Raw genomic sequence first — 24,823 nt, 5'->3', positions numbered from 1 at the left:
AACAGCTAGTAGGCTAAGGCCAGACACTGACACTTGCAGTTGTCTTTGGTAGTTTTTTTGCACTAACTTCAGGAACCAGCTCATGATCTCAGGATGTATGGAAAAATAATCTTTGTATTACTATTGTCAGGTAAGTGATTTTATTTCATCTTGGTTCTGTTATATTGGGTATGAGATCATAGAATAAAATATGAACTACCCTATTTCAGTTCTATCTTATTTAAATCAATAAATGAGTAGTATTTCCTCTTCCAGTCTGGTGGATGGATTTTACTGGAACTCAGCTACCAATGTGGGGGAAATGACACAAGGGAGCCCAGTATTTATGGCCGAATCCAGTTTTCTAGTATGAGAAGCTTACTTCAATTCTAAGTCTAGCTAGAATTAAAATAATTTTATCAAATGCTATGAGAAATAGCTCTCTGTGAATAAATGTATTGCTTTGTTTGAGTTATAAGGAGATTCATTTCCAAACTAAAGAGTTATTAACAAAGGTGTTGGTAGCTATATGGCTTTTAGTTTTCAAAAGGTGTAATTTCCTATTTCTGCCAAATGGTGAGAAGCCAAAAGGATGAACACTGAAACCGTGGGGAGTTGTTTGCTTCTCTGTGGGTCCATTACTAAAGTGTCACATAGGAAGAAAAAAAACAAAAACAACTCTTACTGGCTTAGGTGTCGTGTGAATTTTAGGAGAAATTTAAATCCATTAAAATAAATATCATAGGGTCATTATTAAATTGTATTAATTCAATAATTTGAATTTAACTTAGTTTAAATTTAATTATTAATTTAGTGTCTTAAATTAACATGATTTTGGCCTCTTTCTGAGAATATTATAGTTAAACATCCTCTCAAGTGCAGTGCTTATGTGTTAGCAATACTAGTGCCCAGCACACAGGGGGCAGGCAGTTGCTTGAAACATTCTGAGTCTATTAGACATTGCTGTAACCCAAGTGAGCGCAAGTATCAAGGATCTACTGAGCACTCTGTAGCATACAGGGAAGAGAGATCAGCATTTTCTAAGATACCCTAGGGGAGGATAAAATAGTGCAATAGTTAAGAGCACAGGCATGAGGAACAGACAGAACTGGGTTCAAATCTAGTTTTACTTCTCAAGGCTGGGGAACATTAAGGCAAATTAAGGGCCCACATTTTTATGTGTCCTCGTCTTTAAAATGCAGGCAATGTTGGTACTTACCTCATAATAATTGCATAAAGATTAAACAAAATATTTAATGGAATACACTTAGCGATGCCAGAAACAAAGTAAAATGTTAAGCGTACTACGCATTTTCTATGATTAGAATTAACTATCATGATTAATAAGTATTAATAATATAAGTAATATTAAAATAATTAGTAGCTATCAATAATTATAGACTAGGGAACAAACCTACGTATGTGATTGGTGATTTCTGAGAGTCAGAGAGACAAGAAAATTACAGAAAGAAAACAGAAAACAAACATAGCTACTCTAATTTTTTAAGCAGAAAAGTATGAAAACATTTAGTTTGAAGAAAACAAATGAAAGGGATGTAGTGTAATATTTGTATATGTATTCATATATTTGAAGTGCTATTACACAGAAAAAAAGATGTATTCTTTGTGTTGCTCCATGGGGCAAACCAAACTGGATGTAGCTCAAACAAAATTAGACACTGCGTACTCTACTGGGGGTGTGCCCAGCATTTGGGAAAACTCTGTGTGACTTACAAGTGCCCCAAATTTGGAAAGGGTTCCTGGCAAAGAAATGATTTTTTTTTTAAATTTCTACAACTACACAAGCAGATAGTGAATTAAAGCCTTAAATGGCACTTGATAAAGAGGTCACTGGGGCAAGATGACCCTGAAAGCTACAATGGTCTCCAGTACCCAAGCTGTTATCATCTTCGTAGCAGAAACCCTCCAAGGAAACTCTCTGGATGTGGCCACTTTATAGTATAACAGAAAGGTGGAAGATCAAGTTTTTCCCCCATACTGATTAGCCGAAGACTAAACATGGTGAAGTCTTTTTCTTTTTTTTTCTTTTTCTTTTTTTTTTTTGCTATGAAAAAAAGACGATTGCCTTGCTTTCTCCAGGAATCTTAAGAATAAAGCCGATATTTCTAATTCTAAACTTACCAGAGATCTTCTTCCAAATGGAGAACCCATTTTTTCTAATATGACTTGATTCCCAGTCCCTGAATTCCTGCACTCATTTGATGATTCAGTCATTACATGTCAGATTGTGAACCAGACACTGAGCCCAGGGCAGGAAGAAAAATGGGCTCCCATGGAGGATACACGGAGGGTGGGAGCAGTGGATGGTGGGAGGGAATGCAGATAATAAATGGAACAACAACTATCTTATTAAAATAAGATAAAAACAGTCAAAACTAATACAAAGCATATAAAACCAGGTAAGATGATAAACATGAATGCCGAAAACTGCTTAAGAAAAGGGTAGCAGGGAGTTATTTTCTGAGTAGATGACATTTATGCTAAACGTGGAACAAGGAGATGGAGCCAACCCTGAAAATTCTGGGAGAAGAGGACAGAAGGCAGAGGGAAGAGCAAGAGCAAAAATTCTGAAACAGGAGGTAAGTTAGTGTTTTCAAGGAAAAGCTGGAGCTTTTATCTGAAAATCAGATTCTGAAGCTAAGAACCAATTTGAAAATACAGTACTATATCACTTCAACTAGGAAATTATGGCATAAACCAGGAGTCTCCAAAAGCTTTTTGTGTTTACTTAAAAATTCATATAAAATTTGCATTCTAGGTCATAACATACTAATTTAATGGGAGGAAACAAAGGGACTGGTATGATATCATCATGCCTACTTTATTCATCCATGTATTCCCAGAATCTAGCACAGTTCCCGATTGGTATTTATAGTAGCATATTGGTTGAATAAGCAAGGAAGGAGGTGAAGGGAGGGAGAAGGAGAGAGAAGCAGAGAGGGAGAGGAAGGAAGAAAGAAAAGAAGGAAAAAAGAAGGAAGGAAAGAAGAGAGGAGGGAGAGAGAGAGGGAGGCAAGAAGGGAGAAGAGAGAAGGGAAGGGAAGAGACAGGAGGAAGGGGAGGAGGAAAGAGGAAATATTTGTTTTCATCTGGTTAGACACAGTGAGTGCTCCGCATAGACAGATCATTATTACCCTGTGCATCTGACTCATACCCCTGCAGGTACATCAGTCTGAGAAGCACATGTTAAGTGAAGAAACAAGGCATCTCTTTTTTTTTTTTTTTTTTTTTTTTTTTTTTCAGGGATCCAAGAAGAGAGCCTTGCTAGCTGTCTATTTAATTGGTACAGGAAAGAGTTACAGGAACTGTATGCCAGGGAATACATGACTATAAATTCTTGAAAAGCCAAACCTGTGTCTTCGCTTATGTGTCCCACACATTGTCAGCCACATAGTAGGCAGTCAATATCAACTACTCAAAATGACAAATGACAAATGACCAGAATTTTGTGGCAGACTAGTTTAGCCATGAAAAATCATTTAACACCTGTGGGCCTCAGTTTTCCTGTGTCTATTCAATCAAGCACCGAGTAGATGGTATCTACAATCATTTTTCATCTGTAAACCCCAATAAATCCCCAAAATTCAGCCTGAGATGAGCTGGACTAGCTGCCAAACCTGTAAATATATTTAGCATGGTGTGAAATAGGGTTTTTAGAAAGAAACAGACACCCACTGTGAACTCCTTTGCAGAAAAGGTCTGAATAGAGGGGAAAGTAGGGATGGTATCTCAAACTTACTTCGTAGTGATTTTAAATTAGGAAATTTAGCTTCACATTCTTGTGATAAATTTCTTTTCACCTTGGTTTCTAGAAGATTATTCAAAACATCTATGAGACTATTTGAGAAGTATACTTTTGGGGAATTTCCCCCAAGTTATCTTTATAGATTATATTTTGACACCAACTGCAAATGTAATATCTTTTGCTCAAAAAAACCCCAATCATACTTATATGGTGCTGACAAAATCAGGCTGGACCTACATTTTTACATCATAGATTTCCAGCCATTATTATCATATCCACATCTTTAGTAAGTACCTATCTGTGTAGTTTTCTGTGATAAATGAACTAAACTAAAACTAAAGCAAAAATCTTGAAAAAAAATTCCGGGCTTATCTCTGAGTGTTGGGATTGTAAGGTTTTATTTATTTTTTCTCATTTTGAATACTTTCTAAATTTTCTGCAAAGAGAACCATATAATATAATCAGGACAAGTTTTAATATATTTTAAAAAGTAAACCAAACAAACACAATCTCTGCTTTCTAAGAAGTCTTTAATTTTTGTACGTTGGTCATAGACTATGACTATACAATCTATTTGTGACATTTATTAAGAATTTCTGTCTAACCGAAATTATTATATGTAAGCACTGGAAAAATGATGTCATCTTTCTTTGTAGTGTACAAAGTTCTATAAACAGCTATTTAATCAACTTTGGTATTTCCATCCCTAGATTTATATACAGCAGGTTAGGTTCCATATATAGGCAGGTTCTGAATAATAATAACCAACACTGATATAGCACTTACTTTGTGCCATGCACTTTTCTAAGCAATTTACATACACTTAATTTTTAAAATTGTAGTAAAATACACGTAATATAAATTTACCATTTGAACCATTTTAAAGTGTACAATTGGTAGCATTTAATGCATTCAAAATGATGCACACCCATCACCATTATCTAGTTCCAGAACATTTTCATCACTCCAGAAGGAACCCTCTTACCCAGTAGCAGCCACTTCCAATTCCTCCAGCCCCTGGAAACCACTAATTTGTTTTCTACCTCTACAGATTTACCCATTTTAGATATTTCATATAAATGGAATCATATAATAGGTAGCCTTTTGTGTATGGCTTCTTTCACCTAAAATAAAGTTCATCCATATTGTAGCGTGTATCAGTATTTCATTCCTTTTATAATAAATGTTATTCCATTGTGTTGGTATATCACATTTTGTTTATCCATCCATCATTTGATGAAAATTTGGGTTGGTATATCACATTTTGCTTATCGATCCATCATTTGATTAAAATTTGTGTTGTTTCCACCTTTTGGCTAATGTGAATAGTGCTGCTATAAATATTCCTGTACTAGTTTTGTTTGAACCCACTTTTAATACTCAAAGATGTATAGGGGTAGAATTGCTGGGTCATAGTAATTTTATGTTTAACTTACTAAGGAACTGCTCAACTCTTTTCCACAGGAGCTGCACCTTTTTACCTTTTCACCAGAGTGTATGAGGTGCCAATTTCTCCACAGTCTTGCCAGAAATTGTACTTTTTCATTTTTTTAATTATAGCCATTTCAGAGGGTATGAAGTGGTTTTTCACTGTGGTTTCTTGCATTTTCCTAATAACTAATGATGCTGAGAATCTTCTCATGTAATTGTTGGTAACTGCATTTTGCATATCTTTGGAGAAATGTTGGTTCTAGTCCTTCACCCATTATTTTTTTTTTACTATACTTTAAGTTTTAGGGTACATGTGCACAATGTGCAGGTTACATATGTATACATGTGCCATGCTGGTGCACTGCACCCACTAACTCATCATCTAGCATTAGGTATATCTCCCGATGCTATCCCTTCCCCCTCCCCCCCAACCCCACAGCAGTCCCCAGAGTGTAATATTCCCCTTCCTGTGTCCATGTGATCTCATTGTTCAATTCCCACCTATGAGTGAGAATATGCGGTGTCTGGTTTTTTGTTCTTGCGATAGTTTACTGAGAATGATGATTTCCAATTTCATCCATGTCCCTACAAAGGACATGAACTCATCATTTTTTATGGCTGCATAGTATTCCATGGTGTAAATGTGCCACATTTTCTTAATCCAGTCTATCATTGATGGACATTTGGGTTGGTTCCAAGTCTCTGCTATTGTGAATAATGCCACAATAAACATACGTGTGCATGTGTTTTTATAGCAGCATGATTTATGGTCCTTTGGGTATATACCCAGTAATTGGATGGCTGGGTCAAATGGTATTTCCAGTTCTAGATCCCTAAGGAATCGCCACACTGACTTCCACAATGGTTGAACTAGTTTACAGTCCCACCAACAGTGTAAAAGTGTTCCTATTTCTCCACATCCTCTCCAGCACCTGTTGTTTCCTGACTTTTTAATGATTGCCATTCTAACTGGTGTGAGATGGTATCTCATTGTGGTTTTGATTTGCATTTCTCTGATGGCCAGTGATGATGAGCATTTTTTCATGTGTTTTTTGGCTGCATAAATGTCCTTCACCCATTTTTAAATTTATTTTTGTCTTTCTGTTGCTAAGTTGTAAGAGTTCTTTCTATGTTCTGGATAAAGAGTCTTATCAGATATACTATTTGCAAATCTTTTCCTTCATTCTGTAGATTTTTGTTTTTACTTTTGATAGTGTCCTTTGATGCACAAATGTTTTTCATTTTCAAGTCCAATTTATTTTTTTCTTTTGTTGCTTACGCTTTTGATATCATATCTAAAAATAATTGCCAAATTTAAAGTCATAAAAATTTCTCCCTATGTTTTCTTCTAAGAGTTTTGTATTTCTTCTCTTATATTTAGATCTTTGGTTTATTATCAGTTAATTTTTCTATATGATGTATGACAAGAGTCCACCTTTATTATTTTGCAGTTGTCCCAGCACCATTTGTTGAAGAGACTATCCTTTGCCCATTGAATGGTCTTGACACCCTTCTTGAAAGTTAATTGGCCATGGATATATGAGTTTATTTCTGGAGTCTCAATTCTATCCGAAGAATATGTCTGTTCTTGGGGCAAAATCACACAGATTTTATTGCTGTTACTTGGTTATAAGTTTTGCATTCATGAAGTATGATTCACCAAACTGTGTTCTTCTTCAAGATTGTTTTGGCTATTTAGATCCCTAATAATTTCACAGAAATTTTAGGATTAGGTTTTCCATTCTTGCAAAAAAATTATGCGCATTTTAACTTAATCTGTTCAATAATTCTATAAGGTAGAGACTAATCCATGTATAATGATGGAACAAAAATATAGAGATTAAGTAAATTTTGCAAGGTCTCAGGTAGTTGCTAGAGGAATTAGTTTGAGCCTAGGCAGTTCCACTGCAGAATCTGTGCACTTGGAGAATATGTTATGTTGCCTGTACCATACCTAGTGATGTTCCAGGATTGGCTCCGTTACTCTTACAACATTGTCACTCAGTGTTCTGCTTGTGCTTTCACCAAGCTGAAGACTTTAATGAAGGTTGACGGTCTGTCTTCCTCACGTGGTGCAGCTAAGGAACTCTAACTGTGTGGCTGTTATGTTAGCCTTTTGCTCCTTTTTATATGGGCTATAGAAAATGTTTTTAAATTCTGGAGGCCTCCTTTTGATGTTATCACTTATTTCCCAGTCATCATTATATTTTTAAAAACCAAAATAGAAGGAAATAAATACAAAACATAAAACATGAATAGTACAGCTATTTGAGGCAACTGAGAATAGAGATCATGGCACTGAAATTGCATTTTGCTAGGAAAAAGACCACAAAAGTTCTCCCCTTGCTACCTTTCCTGAACTATTCTGCTAGATTCAGACTTCAAAAACATTGTATCAGGAAATACAGAAATGTTCTTTCAAAATGAGTGTATGGGAATGTGGGAATGCCTAATAAAATCTGTCCTTATTGATTCGTTAGCAAAAAATCATATAAATCAATAGCTTGTGATTGCAAGCAGATATATTTCAGATCCTTTCTGTGTTTGTTTTTTGCTTTCTTGATCTATCACAATTGGAGAAAACTTAAAATTTCTCAATGGTATTGTATTTTTGCCAATTTCTTATTCTGCTTTATGTTTCTCGTTGCTATATTATTGGGCTATAATGGTCCATAATTACTTAAGAATCATTGTGAAATATATTGCTTAATGACACAAGTAAATCTTTTTCACTGTTTGTAATGTCTTTTCTCTTAATTCTACTTTGCCTAAGATTAATATGGTTATTCCTGTTTGGTTTTATATGTATTTATTGCTTTATTTTGAAGATGGAGTCTCGTTCTGTCGCCCAGGCTGGAGTGCAGTGGCACGATCTCGGCTCACTGCAACCTCTGCCTCCCGGGTTCAAGCAATTCTCCTGCCTCAGCCTCCCAAGTAGCTGACAATACAGGCGCACACCACCACGCCCAGTTAATTTTTTGTATTTCAGTAGACACGGGGTTTCACCGTGTTGCCCAGGCTGGTCTCCAACTCTGAGCTCAGGCAATCCACCTGCCTCAGCCTCCCAAAATGTTGGGATTACAGGCATGAGCCATTGCACCAGTCCTAACCTATCTCTTTTGACTCAATCTAAAAGTTTCTGTCTTTTAACACAAAACCATAATCCATATGCATTCATTAATTCACAACTGACATTTAGTATCTTATTTCTGTTATCCTATTTCATATTTTATTATATGATTCCTTGTTTCTGCTCTTTTGATATATATACTATGTTTTATTTGCCCTTATCCTTTCATGTGTTTCTAAAGTATACAGCCTACTTGTAATTGTCCCATTAGCTAACTTTATGTTTTTGAAAGCATTCTCTCTCAGAATTCCCATTTTAGTGGTGCAGCACACATAGAAAGTCTTAGACTTTCTGGAGCTAGATAAGCTGGATAAAGGTGTGCATGAGCCACTGGTCAATGGCTTGTGCGGGCCGTGAGTGCATTTCAGGTATGTCATACGCTATTGATCTGGCAGCCAGGTATTCAGATAGGGTATAACCAGGTTCATCAGGCTCAAAACATAATCAAGTATTATTGAGACATAGTTAATGTGCACTACAAATCACAGCACACAGACTCACACACACACTTGTCTGAAATAAAATTCCACAAAATAATACCTTCCCTAATTCTGTGTGATGTACTTTGATATATTCTCTCCATTTTATACAACTTAATTTTTTTTAGAGACAAGATTTTGCTCTGTGGCCTAAGCTGGACTGCAACGGCACAGTCATAGCTTACTTCAGTCTTGAACTGCTGGATTCAAGTGATTCTCCAGCTTCTGCCTCTCAAGTAGCTGAGACTTCAGGTGTGCTCAACCACACCTGACTAATTTTTTTGTTATTTAATTTGTAAATATGGGGTCTTGCTATATTGCCCAGGCTGGTCTCAAGCTCCTGGCCTCAAGGGATCCTCTTGCCTTGGCCTCCCAAAGCACTGGGTTTACAGGCATGAGCCACCACACCTAGACTACAACTTAATTTTTTAGTGCCAGTGACAACCCACTGGACTGATTTCATAGCCCATTAGTAGAGGAATGCGCCATCCTGACTGCAGGTTAGAATTTTCTCAGAGAATCTATGTAGCACTGATGATTGGGTTTCACATCCAGACATTCTAGTTATGCTAATACAGGGGCCAAGCAAACTATAGCCTGTGAACGGCTGGCCCCCTAGTTTTGTATACCTTACAAGTTACAAATGATTTTTACTTTTTTAAGTGCTTAAAAAAATCAAAATAGGCCGGGTACAGTGGTCCAAGCCTGTAATCCCATCACTTTGGGAGGCTGAGGTGGGCGGATCACGAGGTCAGGAGATCGAGATCGTCCTGGCTAACACAGTGAAACCCCATCTCTACTAAAAATACAAAAAATTAGCCGGGCTTGGTGGCGGGTGCCTGTAGTCCCAGCTACTTGGGAGGCTGAGGCAGGAGAATGGAGTGAACCCGGGAGGCGGAGTTTGCAGTGAGCGGAGATCGGGCCACTGCACTCCAGCCTGGGTGACAGAACAAGCCTCCATCTCAAAAAAAAAAAAAAAAAAAAAAAAAAAAAAGAAAGAAAAAAAATCAAAATAATAATAATAATGTGAATATTATATGAAATTCAAATTCTACTGCCCACAAATCATTATTGGAACATAGTCATACTCATTTATTTATGCTTTGGTTTACATATTGTCTGTAGCTGCTTTTGCACAGTGACAGAGTTGAATATTTGTAATAGATGGTCCACAAAGCCTAAAGTAGTTGTGGCCCACAAATCCTAAAGTAGTTACTCTCTCTCCCTTTACATAGGAAGTTTACTAATACTTGTGCTAAGGGATCTCAACAGACAATTTGAAAAACTTAAGTTTTAGACTAAAGATTTGCAATCTAAATTCCTGTGGAGCTTTCTGAAGCTGCCAGGTGGAGATGGGAACAGGTTGTGAGGCTGCAGGCCAAACACTCAGGCCAGCTTCCACCAAGCAGTTCAACTCTGTCTGTTTCACACACTGATGAGCTTATCCTTGGAAAGTGATTAAAGTAAAATTAAATGTGAATTGAGGGAGGAAGTGAGGGAGACTGGAAGTGAGGGAAACAAAACCCTAAGAAACACCAACATTTAAGATGGCAAATGATGTTATTTCTAAAGTTGTTCAGGCTAATATCCCATACTGTAGCTGTTCACTTTATAGATAAAGGTGACGCTAGAACCATAGAAAATGTAAGAATTGACCTCGAAACTCAGGAAGATGAAGTTTACATATATTAATCTATATTACCAACTGGAGCAGTTGTTCTCACTGCTGGCCGCACATCAGAATCCAATGCCTGGATATCACAGATGATTCTACCATGCAGTCAAGGATGAGAACAAACTAGTTTCATTTCTGCAATTTTGTATTGTTCAACCAGTGAAAGGAAGTACCAGTGGTGTGAGAACTTTGGGATAAAGTTTTTCTTTTCAATTGAAATTATTTTCATCCAGCCCAACTTCCTTAAGCCCAAATTTAATGTGTGTGAAGTTCAGCTACAGAAATACCAATATCTTAGACTAAAGTGGACACAGGTAAAATATGTGAAATCCCCTTTTGTTCTGAGGATTCTTTAGTAGGCAGGAGTGACCAGATTGGAATATGCTTGGCTGGAAAAATTAAGATTCAACTTAACAGACTGTTAATAACCAGAACCATCTTCTCTTCCGTAATGTGGATTTGCCACTGCAGGTCACCCTACAATGCTATGTTAGAGGTACAACACTCCTACCCTCAGGCTATAAACAAGGTGAATTATTATCTTTATATCTCTTCATTTAGCCCTGATTTGCTGAAGTGAAGGCTTGCTTGAGAGTTGGTTGCATTATAATTTGGTGAGAATTTAATCTCTCAATGACAACTTACTTGATTCCCTCATTCTCTTTCTGCTACATAGATCACAGTAGACCTTGGCAGACAGTTCTGTAGTTACATAGGTCTGAATTCAAAATCCAGTTCTGCCACTTGGCGGCTGTGTGAACTTAAGCAAGTCAGGCAATGTTTCTGATGTTTTCTTTTCCTCCTCCACAAAGAATAATTAACATCTAACAATAGGGTCTCAGCTAGTTGTTTTAAAAATGGTTAGAGAGATGTGTGGAATGAAGTAAGTGTGCAGTAAGTGTTAACTACAAATATTATTATCTTAGACATACAGATTTCCATGATTCATGAATGGTGAAGCATCTTAGAAGACATCCATTCTAAGCCAGGCATGGTGGTGTGCACCTATAGTACCAGTTGCTCAGTAGAATGAGGCAGGAGAATTGCTTGAGCCTAGGAGTTTGAGGCTAGTATGGGCAATATGGTGAGACCCTATCTCAAGAAAAAAGCAAAACTTTTTTTAAAGCTTAAAAAGAGAGACATCTGTTCCACTACTCTCATCTTAGAGGCCAGAAAACTGAGGCTCAGATAATTTCAGAGACTTTCACAGATCCCCCAACCATTTGATGGCAAAGCCAGGAATAGAACTCTGCTCTCCTTTCCCACTGGGACAGTGGACAGAAATTCATCTTGATTTCCATCTGTCCAGGCTGAAGAATGTGCACTGGCTGGAATGACAGACTGACCGATTTTTTTCTCCACCTCTGCTGTCTCAGCAATGGTTTGGGACAGTGTGGATGACCAGAAGCTGGATAGTACAGAGCCAGGATAAAAAGTTCAGGCTTCCTGAAGGGAAGCTGCAGTCCTCCTAGGCCACAACACCTTCGAGATAGAATAAATACAGCACCCTTCTCTACCAAGTTAGGAAAGGAAGAAGTGTTACCAATTAGTTGTATGGGGACTGCCAAAGCACGCCAGTCTGAAGATGAGCAGAAACTGGCTCATTCCATTTGGCACCTAGCACACTAACTGCACCAGTTAATAGGCCACGCTTTTCTCCAGAGCCATTGGCTGAAGAGTTCAAATAAAAAGTATTGAGAATAGGCTATCCAAAACAGTAGGCTCAGATGCTATCACACAAAGCACTTTATCCTTAAGTTCAATTTTTCTAAATTGTAGTTGGCTGCTTTGGCTTAATAAAAACCTTCCAAAAAAGAAAAATGAATGGCCACAGACAGTATGGGTATCTAACTATATTATCACAACTTGACCAAGATTGAACGTGCCAATCCTTTGGTTCAAGAGCCAAACAAAATCGTTCCCTTAAAATATTGCTTCATGGGAACAGTCTTCTTCAAACATCTTTTAGCACAGGCAAGATTCCCATTTATACGTTAATTCTGTCCAAGACAATGAGATTGAGCAGAAAAGGCATTGAGTTGGAAGTCAATGGATATGAGTTTTTGTCCCAGTTTTACCACAAATTAGCTGAGCATAACTTCCACAGATGCATTTATCAAGTAGTTTTCATGGTCATTGCAATGTCAAAAAACTGTAGCATTTAGAAAATTTAGTTTTCAGACTTGGAAACTATTTAAGGCATTTCATATGAAGGGTGTGTCCTTGTAAGAGTTTGCTTATGCAAGATAAGGCTTCTTTCAGCTGCAAGTCAGGAGCGAACCAAAACTCAAACCAGCAGCTTATCACATCTTGATGAGAGCTCAGCCACTGGAAGTTTTGGCATACAGCAAAACTGAAGGGTACTTATACAATATCACATTTTATTTTTATTGTTTCTAATAGCATTCCAGGTTAGAAATGTCAATTATTTGGGAAAGCTGAGTGGTCTGGTAGATAAAGCATATAGCAGAGAGCTAGGAGGCTGGCTATTTCCAGTTGTTATCCTAACATGTCTTGGGCCCCCAAGTCACCCCACCTCCTTGGTACAATGGGAACAGTGGCAGAAGTCCATGCTCTCTCCCCCAACACATGGGGATAAGAGACAAGAGAGGTGAAATGTTCTGGAACATATCCGATGTTATACAAGTATAAGCTGTGAGATGAGCCAAACACAAATTTTGAATATTTCATTTTCTAGAAAGTATACCAATTCATTCCACCCTTCTCAAACCTAAATTATACAATTCAATTCAGGTCACACAGATTTACTTTGTACTAAGTACCATAGCAAATGCCATTTCAGTGCCTGAAAACTGAAAAACATAAATTTAAAGTAGGAGTTTGAGGCCTCACTAATATGACAAAACATACCTTTGTATTTTATTTTGCACTAATTTGCCACTTAATCATTAAACTCTTATCAATCTGAGAGATTTGCCAACACTTGCCTGCTAGGTGACCTAAGCCTCCACATCAATGCATGTTATACTCCCCTTTCTCCATATGTTAGCCCATGCTATTTCTTTATCCCTCCTCCTCTGCATCTTCACCTAAAACTCTGCCCATCCTTCAGGGTTCATCCAGTGATACATTTGCAAGTAGGCATGGGGTAAGGTCTTGAGAGTATGTTTCTCAGAGGCCCATGCAGCTAAGAAAATGTGCAGTGTTGGCACAAGGTCTGTCTATTCCTGGGTAGCCAGATGCTGGACACATCTTTCATAACACCACAAGGTAAATATACTTCACTTGGAGAGAGAAGTGAAATTTTTCAGGTAGAGACTGGATGTGTTCCTGCCAGAAGATGTGAAGGGGTTAAGAAACTGACTCTCATCTCAGCATTGCTAGAGCAAAATATAATTTCTCATAGCGGCTATGGTATAAGGACACTGAGGGGTAAGAGATATAATCTAAGTAATACAATAAATTAGTGTGGAAAAAAATCATCAAAATGAAGACCACATGGTTTTTATTAAAATTCTAGCTTTTAGGATGTCCAGGGAGCTCAGGAATTTAGTTGTCCTTTTTTGTATGTACAATATGCCCCAATGCTTGCTGACTAATATACTAAAACATTAGAGAAATCTTGCTGACAACATCTCAACCAGGCAGCGAGATCTGGAAGGTGAGACTAATATTGGGGGTCAGCAGAATTAAGTCTCAGTTCTGCTGCTTACCAGATATGCTAATCTGAGCTAGTCATTTAATTTTTATGAGACCAAATGTCTATCTGTAAAGTCGGCAATTTGGATTAGATGTGCTGCAAGTGGTTTTCTAGCTTAAATGTACCTTCTGAATTCAACAGGGCAATACTTAAACTGACCTTTAATCTAGGAATGACACAAGTAGATTTTTGAAAGCTAATTTAGCTACAGAAAGCTGAGAGCTCCAAAGGCAAAGAGATAAAAATAACAGGAGAGCCTTCCCTTAATCCAGTCCCTAAGCAGTTTTGGCAAACTAAAGTTTGTTGTTCAATGGTTACGAGTTTGCTTAAATGCTTTCTACCCAGTTTACTGAACTAAATAGTATATAGCTATAGTAAAAAGTCCTATTCAAAAACCAGCTTCTCACAGATATTTTGCAGCTTTGCAGAATTGAATATGTCCACAGATGTCTATTAGCTGGTTAGGGTCTTAGGAATCTAGGAGAGCCAAGTAGTTGTGTGAGCTGTTGTTATCAAATGTAGTTTTGAACATTCTTGGTGATTTTAAGGGATCATATTGTGGAAATTTGGTTTCCTTACCTTGAATTTTGAATGAAGCTTTAGCATTTAAGGATGTTTCTTTGGTTTCTCCTTCCAGATAAGTGTTTTTTTTTTTTCAACCAGATGCTGGTTTATTTAATTTGAAGGTATTGATGAAATTCTTTAAATTGCCCCCATGTGATTCTATTCTGGAATAACTACCAAATTATTTAAAAGTTAATTAATACTAGAAAATACGAAAACTCATTTTTATGGGAACTATTGTTCCTTCAAGATGACACTGTTTTGTAAACTATAGACTTCCAATAGCAAGCCTCTGTGCCTTCCTCTTACCACTAAGCAAGCATGGGTATTAATTCCTACTGAAAGGCTTATGCTATCTTTTTTCCAGAAATGGAAGAAAAATGAACTATGAAAAAGATCATTTTATAGGTCAGCTACCATTATGAGATTGTTGAGGAAATGATATAAAAAACAATTTTTATCAAATTATCTTTAGGGCATTTATATGTTTATTTTCTTACTGTGTTGATTTAGGTGACTATAAGAAGTTGTATCAGAGCAACTGATTCTGGTGAATTAAAGCAAGTATTTCTAAGAACATAAGTGGCAACTTTCAGTCTCAAATCAATTTGGCCACCAACCAGTTTTTGTAAGGGTACAAATAGGACATAACATGCCCAGATGGGACTTGGATAAAGTGTATACAATTTTACATTGAGGAAATTGTGTCAATGTGTTACCTTCAATGTTAGAAATTCCCAAGTTCTGACAATAGTTCAGAGCCTTGTTAAAAGCCAGAGTGGAGGCATGTAGATCCAGCTGGAAAGAGAGGCATTATGGTCTAACTTAGGACACATTTTAAAGCCAGTGTTAGGGTCTGAGTCCAGCTTTGTAAACTTGAGTACAGTGTTTGATCTCTGGGGTTTCAGCCTTCATTTCGGTACAAAATTTCCACCAAGTGCTCTTTTACTGTGAGGAGTAGCTGTTGAAGAACAAAGAAGTCTACCTATTTGCTAGAGTGTTAACAATTGTTTTGATAAAGCTCAAAACTTATCTAAATAAGCTCTCTCTCCCTAAGCATGTTTTCATTTTCTTAAGTTACATATACTTTGCTTAAAAATTTAAAATACTTTTCACCTTCTCTGACTTCATTTAAAATTAAAATAATGAAAGTGCCAATTTTAAGAGATGTTAGCTCCCATTGTTGGTTCTTTGCCATATTCTTTTGACAACCTGCTGTAATTTTCTGCCCCCTTTAAAGCCTCAGGCTATAGGGCTTCTCCACCAAAGGAATGTTAAGAAGTGATAAGGACCTTCTGTGAGCAGAAGTGGCTTGTTTGCAAAGGGACTGCTTATCTTGGCCACTCTTGAACACAAGATGGGACCCTCTACTGCAAAGCTCCCGCATGTTTTTTTTCCCCTAAGTTATCCTCCATACTACTGACAGTGATTTTCCCTAAATAAAAAACTGCTTCAAACCCTTCATCTATCTAGAAATAAGCCAAAGCTCATATCTAACATTTATTAAGAGAGATGGATTATTTTTGTTCATTAGTTATCTTTGTAAATAATTTTTACATACTTTAATTGACTCATAAAAATGTCTTTCTGTAATTTTAATCCTAAAATTTGTTAAACTTCAAAATCCCTATCACCAGATTATTGTTTAAAAGCATTCATTTTTATATTATCTTAAAAGCCATTATACCTGAGTGCTGAACAACTTAGAAACATTCAGTAATTGTTTTGCATGCTATTTGGAGAATTCATATGGCAATCGTTTATAAACACATGATGGAATCAGGTGGCAGGCCAAGTTAAAGAGCAAGGCCAGAAAAGAACTTAAAAGAGAAGAGAAAACATAGACAGTTTAGGAACAATAGATCATGTCTTCTCCATGATTTGGAGGTAAACTGATTACCTATCAGCTGATAAATAGAGAAAGGTTTTAGAACTCTTCCCTTGAGTAGACTAATGAGAGGTGTCAGAGAAGATGTTTTCTGTTATTTGTGTGCTCTCCAGGAAACTTTGAGCATTCAGCTGAGGGGCCAAGTTGGCTGCCTCTGAGAAGAAGCCCTTCCACCTCCACTCCACTGCACTTGGGTGCCATTCCCCTCATTTGAATGTCTCCAAGAGATGAGCAAAGGTACATCTACAGAGTTCAGGGTACTGATGTTTATCATAATGATTTATAACTCTCAGAAGAGTGAAAAACACATGAATGCACAGAATAGGAGACTGAAATATAAACCACAGAACATTCATACAATGGAATACTCTGCAGTCATAAAAATCTTCTCATAGAAGAATATTTGACAGCATAGGGATATCTGTGGCATATTAAGTAGAAAGTCAGACTTGTAAACATTATATACATATTCACACATATTTAAACACCATGATCCCATATTTACATATAACAACTAAAAGTTCAGATGGCTATATATCAAAATGTGTCAAATGTTCAACATTGCATCAGCTGACTGTAGATGAATTTTATATTATACTTTGTGCTTTCTTGTAGTTCCCAAATATTCTTTATTGAATCTATATTACTTTTGCAATTTAAAGAATTTATAAAATTTTATAAAATAACTTATAAATTTGAAATGTATTGCATTTAAGAATAAAAAGTGTTTAATTACAAAAATAATTCACAATTTATTTAATGAGATTTTAAAAGGATATTTGTGAATCTACATTCTGATTTCCTGTTTGCGTGTGTGGTTTTTTTTTTTTTTTTTTTTTGAAACGGAATCTCGTTCTGTCGCCCAGGCTGGAGTGCAGTGGCGTGATCTCGGCTCACTGCAAGCTCGGCCTCCTGGGTTCATGCAATGTAATAGTGTTTTCTTATTGTTTCCACTTTTATTGAAGAAGTAAGATTGTCCCTAGCAGATGGAGACACTGAGATATGGGACAGAACTTTTGTTCTGTATAATTATTATGAGCTTCCACCTTTCTTAGCATAGACAGTTTCCAAAATGCAACTTCAAGTTACCCCTTTATAAGCATAATAACAATAATACCCAACATATATGTAATGCTCTTTATGTGTCAAGTACTATACTAACACATACACATCACATACACACACATACCACATACACACACATATTTAAACTAATTCGTTCTCACAATGACATTTTGAGGCAAGTATTACTATTGTACAGATGAGAAAACCAAGGCACACTTTATCTGTAAACCTCTGCTGTACAAAAATTCTGGAGGGGCTTCTGGCCCCTTAATTTTAAAATAAGGCCAATAATACAATACTTACCACGCAGCAATTCTCTAAAGATTATGTAAGATATATACTAAAGCGCTTAGCTCAGGGACTGGAGGGATGTGAGAGGAATTTGTCTTTTGTGATATGCTTTATGGTCTGCTCAGTCACCTCGTTCTTAATCCCTTTCTCAACTTCTATTTTATACAGAAATTGTGAGCATATCAGCATTAAGTACCACTGAGGTGGCAATGCACACTTCAACCTCTTCTTCAGTCACAAAGAGTTACATCTCATCACAGACAAATGGTTTGTTTTCATTTTTATTTTTAAATTGTGGCTCCGAAATGATTTTTGTGATGCAACCCTATTTTAGGGGACCTGTCACTGCAGAGAAACTGACAAACACTGAGAAATGCGAGCTAAGTAGACACAGCCTACTAAGTAGACACAATTCTTACTACAGAGGAATTCTAGCCTCTGAAATATCTCACAGAAATAATACTGTGAGTTAAAGAAATTAAAACAATGTGGCAAAGCACAGAAATGATACATGTGACCATGAAATAGTGGGCCAGATAAAGGGGACCTAATAGTGCGGTGGTGCGGAGGGTCTGTGGGCAAAATGAGTTCAGCTCAGACCTGGGCTCAGCTCTATCCCAGCTGCTGACCCAGGGTGAGTTGCCCTGCAGGGTTTCTATCCCATTAATTTTAAAATGGGGCCAATAACACAGTACTTATCTCACAGCATTTCTCTAAAGGCTAAATAAGAAGAAGTGTCTAAAAGTTATTAGCTCAGAGCCTCACACATTCTCAGTGACTGATAAACAATAAGCAAAGCTGGGTGCTGAGATAAGAGTAATCTGGTGGCAGTCTCTCTTGTTAGTTTTCAGGGGAGAAGAAGAAATTCTGGAGCTGCTGCTGGGAGGGATGTGGGAGAATTTGTCTTTCATGATACGCTGTATGTCCACGCAGTCACCTCATTCTTGTTCCCTTTCTCAACTTCTCTTATATGCAGATAAGCACAAACGGGACACATGTCCAGCTCATACTGCTAATGAAGTTTCAGAAATTTCTGTTACAACTGTTTCCCCTCCAGAAAAGAAAAACGTTATGTTCTTAGTTTTAAATAGTTTCTCTGGAGTCATTGTTGTGATTGAACTCTATTTACACGAGCTGTAACTCATGACAGTTCTCAAACTTTCGTGACAGAAAACCCAACTCTTTTACTCCAAAGCCCATATAGCACCCACAACTATTAACTGTGACCAAGAAAGAGAAGGCAAGCCCCAATTAACCTTTGTACGTAAAGCCTAAAGAATGAAAAAATATACCTGAATCCTCAATCATCAAACAACATAGCATATACTAAGTAATTTGTAATAATTAAACTCTAGAAAATTGTGTGGCTTTGGTATAAGAGAGCTTCATGACATAAAATGGCAAGTGGAGACAGAGACAAAAGTAGGATGTGGACTGAGAGGGAAGGTTAGCACAGGTGGAACAGTAAGGCAACCATACTATCAATTGCTACTGACATAGAATCCAGAGAGACTATTGGCAAAAGCTCAAATGAGACACAGTAACAGTTTAGATTCATACAGTGGCTATGGCATAAATCAGAAAATTGATAGCCGCATGACCCTTCTTTGCATGGGACTGGCATCTCTGTGGAGTAATGGCTCCATATGCCTCCTTTCTTCTCATTATTTTTTACATGTTTTAAAAATGCATTGCTTCTTGTGTAAGTCAATAAGTGATTCTTCCAATACTTTCTCATTCCTTTCCCCTCAGTTATGAGACAATTTGCTTATTTCTCATCCATGAATACGTGTTGGGTCATTAAAAGTAGATACTGAAATTACTAATGGTAAGACTGACACATTACCTCATAAATGTTACTAGCTAGATGTTGAAAGTTGACCAACAACTCTCAAAATATGATTAAGAAAAGGAAACCCGCAGAACAGTTTGATTCCAAAATGATTTTTTTCTTTGCACATGTCTTTCTTATTTGGACTTACATTGAAATTTTGCTTTATAGGAGAAACGGGACAACTTGTCCATCGTTTCACTGTACCAGGTATGTTAATATTTGACAAAGAATAAAAGTCATTCCATTTTAAACTATCCATTGCTTGTTTCAAATGCCTAAGAAAATGTGTCTATCTTAAAACAGAAGAGCATATGTTGTTAACTTTATTCACACGAAATTGTAAAGACAAAGAAAATATTCTCTTTTTAAAATTAAAATAGGCATTTCTTATTTTTAAAAACATTTTGGGGGCCAGGGGCCGTGGCTCATGCCTATAATCCCTATAATTTTGGGAGGCCAAGCCTGGCTAATCACTTGAGCCCAGGAATTTGAGAACAGCCTGGGCAATATGGCAAAATCTATCTCTACAAAAAATACAAAAATTAGCTGGGATGGGGCATGCACCTGTAGTCTCAACTGCTTGGGAGGCTGGCTGAGGTGGGAGGATCGGATCCATTGCCTGAGCCTGGGAGTTTGAGGCTGCAGTGAGCTATGACTGTGCCACTGTACTCTAGCCTTGGTAAGACCCTGTCTCAAAAACAAATACATAAGTAAATAAAAATAAATAAAAACATTTGGAAATAGAAATACATAATTTGGTAATAGTTTTTCTCTTAAGTTAGATGTTTTACCTTTCTAACCAACCCTGAGTACTTGAAAGAAGCCTCATAAGAGCTTATAAAACAAGTGAAGTTCCCTCTGCCCTCATGTAAAAAGCAAGGCATTTAAAATCATCTAATTAACTGGTACTGTATTTCAAGGGTAAATCTCAGCCTTGATTCATTTTTGGCCCAATGCAACCACTTAGGGACCATCTTGACAACCTCTGCTGAAGGGACATCCCTTCCCCTCACTTGAGTATCACTGTGTGTGCTCATTTGCTATTCTGCATTCTAACCCTCCCTTCACACTTGGCCGTGTCCATGGCTCACAGGGTAAAAAGCACATCATAGAACTTCATCACTATCGCATACATTCAAGCTAAGTGGTCAAGAAGGCTGGGCAACACCAGCAAGAGGAAATGCTACTTTTACTTTTTGTGAATAATTTAAATATTAATTAGGCAAATAAATGAGCCATTTTACCTGTATGTCTAGCCTTCCATTCTATTTACTTCATCTGGAAGTACTACAAATATGCTATAAATATGGAAATATCTCTTACTTAATTGATTTCAATTGTTTCATTCCCAACATATAAATGACTTAACAAGCATTGTTAGTGACTATATTGGAGACTATGCATAAGAATACTGTGGAAGGAATAAAGCTTAGAATATAGATGACCTGCATTATAGTTATAATTCTACTTTTAACTAGTTGTCTGACCAAGGCTAAGTTAACCTTATTCAGCTTCTTTTCTTCATTTGTAAACTGTTTATACCAGTTTCTTTCCAAAATTATGATTCTATGATCTGTTCAATGCTCTTTTATATGTTAAGACATTGTTTTCTCTCATAACTTCCAAACTATGGGAGAATTTGTGGGTTTTTTTCCCCATATCTGAGGAGAACGTCCACTGAGTTCTTATCTACAGTTACACTAGTGAAGAACGCTGGGTCTGGAATCAGAAGCCTCAGGTCTTAGTTCTGTCATCAACTATTTTGCGACCTTGGACAAAAGACTTGATCACTCACAGTCCCAGTTTCCCACAAGGTTACTGTAAAGCACACAATTTAAAAAAAGACAAAATACACATAATAGTATGTTAACTGTACTTTGTATTAAAAGGCAAGGTGATGTTATGCTGATGTTATCTGTCTTATTTTTCTATTGCTATGTGGTCATTTATTTCAGACTTTCATAATTTTGCTGCTCTCTTTAGCTCCTGTAGTGATAATACTCATTATTTTGTGTGTGATGGCTGGTATTATTGGAACGATCCTCTTAATTTCTTACAGTATTCGCCGACTGATAAAGGTGAGAATTCAGTTTTTAATTTTGCTCTAAATACCAGTGTGAACAGCTCTAGGAGGGTTTATTCCTCTGAGTTCAGTTAAACTCAGAAGAGAAACAGAACTGCATAAAATTCCATCTTTTTCAACTGGACACATAGAAGTCACTGTGTTTCTCTAGCAGAATTTTTTTTTTGCATTTGCCCAATTAAAGGGAACCTCTAAATATAAGTCTGTCCCCCATTTTCCCAATGAAAGATCTCCCTAAGTTTTTGTCTAACTTGCTTTCACATATTTTGATGGATATTGAGGAAATATTAAGATTCTTCTTATAGTATTTAACCTATTAGTGTAAAAAATATTTAAAATAATATATTTACATATGTTTAAAACTTTGGAGGAGGCCAAGGCAGGAGGATTGCTTGAGCTCAGCAGTTTGAGACCAGCCTGAGCAAAAAGGTGAAACCTAGTCTATACAAAAAATATGAAAATTAGAAAGGCTTGGTGGTGCACATGTGTAGTATCAGCTATTCAGGGGGCTGAAGTGGGAGGATTGCTTGAGCCTCGGAAATCAAGGCTGCAGTGAGCTGTGATCATGCTACTGCACTCCAGCCTGGGCAACAGAGTGAGACCATGTCTCAATAAATATATAAATAAATAAATAAAAATAAAATAAAACTTTTGCCTTTCTTAATTCTCACATGTTCTGAAACAGATTTTACAAATTTCCACCCATGAATTCTTAACATCAGTGATTTTTTTTGAATCATTAAAGTTTTTTAAATTTTTTTTTGAGACAGAGTTTCCCTCTGTCACCCAGGCTCGAGTGCAAAGTGGCGCAATCTCTGCTCACTGCAGCCTCTGCCTCCCTGGTTCAAGTGATTCTCGTGCTTCAGCCTCCACAGTAATTGGGACTACAGGTGCGGGCTACCATGCCTGACTAATTTTTGTATTTTTTTAATAGCAGAGATGGGGTTTCGCTGTGTTGGCCAGGCTGGTTTCAAACTCCTGACCTCAAGTGATCCACCTGCCTTGGCCTCCAAAGTGCTGGGATTACAGGTGTGAGCCACTGCGCCCGGCCCTAATTAGGGTTTTTATAAAACCAAAAGAACTTGGCAACACCCCTAGGTACCCTTTAGAAGCCTCCAATTGGCTACAGCCTGTGAAGGATTGGCCTGTGACCAATCAGAGGCTGAAGTGGAGTCTTAGCTCATGGTCAAGCAGAGGCTGAAGTGGAAACTTCTTGTCTTTTTATCACAGGCATGAGGATGTGGCCTGCATGCTGCCTGATCTTGCCTAGAACCGGCTGCACCTGCTGTTCTCTTGTTTATGCAAACTGGCTGCACCTGCTATTCCTTTGCTTATGCCCCTACCCCTGGCTATCCTAATTCCCTGTTCTCCTGCCTCACTATTACTGTATTCTCTACTTCTAAATAAAAATAAAACAAAATACAAACCGTTTTCATGTATTATAGTCATGATTTGTTATTTCAAGCTATGTTTAAAATGTAAAGCCCATTACAGTAGGATAGATGAGAAGAAAGAAGGGTCTGAACAAAGCCAACAGCGGAGAACATGCAGAAGGGGAATGAAGACTTCAGCCTGGACTCTCATTAGGTGGTTGTCCAAGATAACATGAAGTCTCATGTGAAATATATTGGAAAAGAACAAGATTCAGTCAAGTACCCAAGGTGCCTGACTGCTGAAACGGCACTGTAATTTAAAAAGCAAAGACAAGTTTATCATACTGTGAGATCCTTGAGGGCAAGGACCAAATTCTATTCAAATCTTTGTCAAAAACCAGATTTTTGATAGGCTTACTTTAGTATCCATTGATCTTAATTATAGTTCACCTGCCAGGAGTTAAGGTCCCTCCTCAACAGTAAAGAGAATGACAGGCACAGGGGTAGGAGCACGTAGAGAAGGGCCTGACTTTCAAATGAACTCTGGAGAGCACTCATCACCTCCAGAACACAGCAGATCTTACTGAGATGGCTGGGTCAGAAATCTCTGAGGGACTCCAGGATGCCCACGCCTCAGAAAGGACAGGTTAAACCAAAGGACCTGGGGTCCCAATGTGCAGCACGTTTCCTCTTCTAGTACACACCAGATACATTCTGACTGCCTTACCCTTGGAGTCAGAAGGAGTGTCTGAGGTCTCTTTTCTCCCATCCTAAAAACAGGACGTAGAGCAGGCCATGGTCATATGCTGTATGCCTCCCCTAAGTGAGCAGTAAGAGATTGTCACAAATCTGCTATGTTCAACATCCGCATTTGAATAAATGAATGTTATTACCTCTCCAGGTGACTGCTTTGAATGTATAAATTCTAAAGTATTTCAGAAACCTCAGACATTACAGTCACACCATGATAAAATCTGGTAGGTCTGATGACGAGGAATGGTGTTTGTTGCATATTTAAAAGATTGCAGACAGTTCTACATTAAAGGTTCTTTCTGTGGGTGAGGGGGCTGTGGGATGGGGGAGATGCCAGTATATGTATAGAGCTTAATTTCACTTGGTGGGATTATAGCTAATTTTTGTCTTTTTCTTTATACTTTTTTTCTAGCTTCTTAATTTTCTGTAACAAAACTATATTACATTTTTGAAGAGACAATAACAAAAGCCATTAACTTTTTCAAAACTAAATATATATATACATATATACATATTGCAACAAGACAGTTGCTAGCACACATCTCCCTAACAGATAGAGTTACATTAGTCTACATGGGGTTTTACTTATAATTGACATAGTTACCCTAATCTATGCATTCTTTGACTATGTTGCATGTCTAACATGTTCCAGTGACCATTCAATTGTGGATTACAGAGAACTGTCATTGTCCAAATTAGAGGCAGGAATTTCAGTCCTGTGGGAAGCATCCAAAAAGTTCTTCAGCACAGATAGGTTTAGGAATAAAACTGGAGATCTTTTGAGTGGTTCTCATTTTTATAAGCTTGGTCATGAACTTATCTGCCCCTTAGTTATTTTTAGAATTGATTTC

The 24,823-nt window shown here is 37.3% G+C and overlaps 1 protein-coding gene across 4 annotated transcripts; it reads left to right on the top strand.

Annotated features, from left to right (window-relative positions):
- On the top strand, positions 1-24,193 carry GYPB (glycophorin B (MNS blood group)). Of its 4 annotated transcripts, none has more exons than XM_011531904.4 (6): positions 1-130; positions 16,687-16,810; positions 18,098-18,196; positions 19,932-19,970; positions 21,747-21,841; positions 24,121-24,193. In XM_011531904.4, the coding sequence occupies exons 2-6, from the start codon at positions 16,801-16,803 to the stop codon at positions 24,139-24,141; spliced, it is 264 nt and encodes an 87-aa protein (XP_011530206.1). In that variant the 5' UTR covers positions 1-130; positions 16,687-16,800; the 3' UTR covers positions 24,142-24,193.

Source organism: Homo sapiens, chromosome 4 (genome assembly GCF_000001405.40).
Source record: "Homo sapiens chromosome 4, GRCh38.p14 Primary Assembly".
Taxonomy (NCBI): Eukaryota; Metazoa; Chordata; class Mammalia; order Primates; family Hominidae; genus Homo; species Homo sapiens.
The sequence above is the reverse complement of the archived record's forward strand: the minus strand, read 5'-3'. Positions and strand labels throughout refer to the sequence as shown.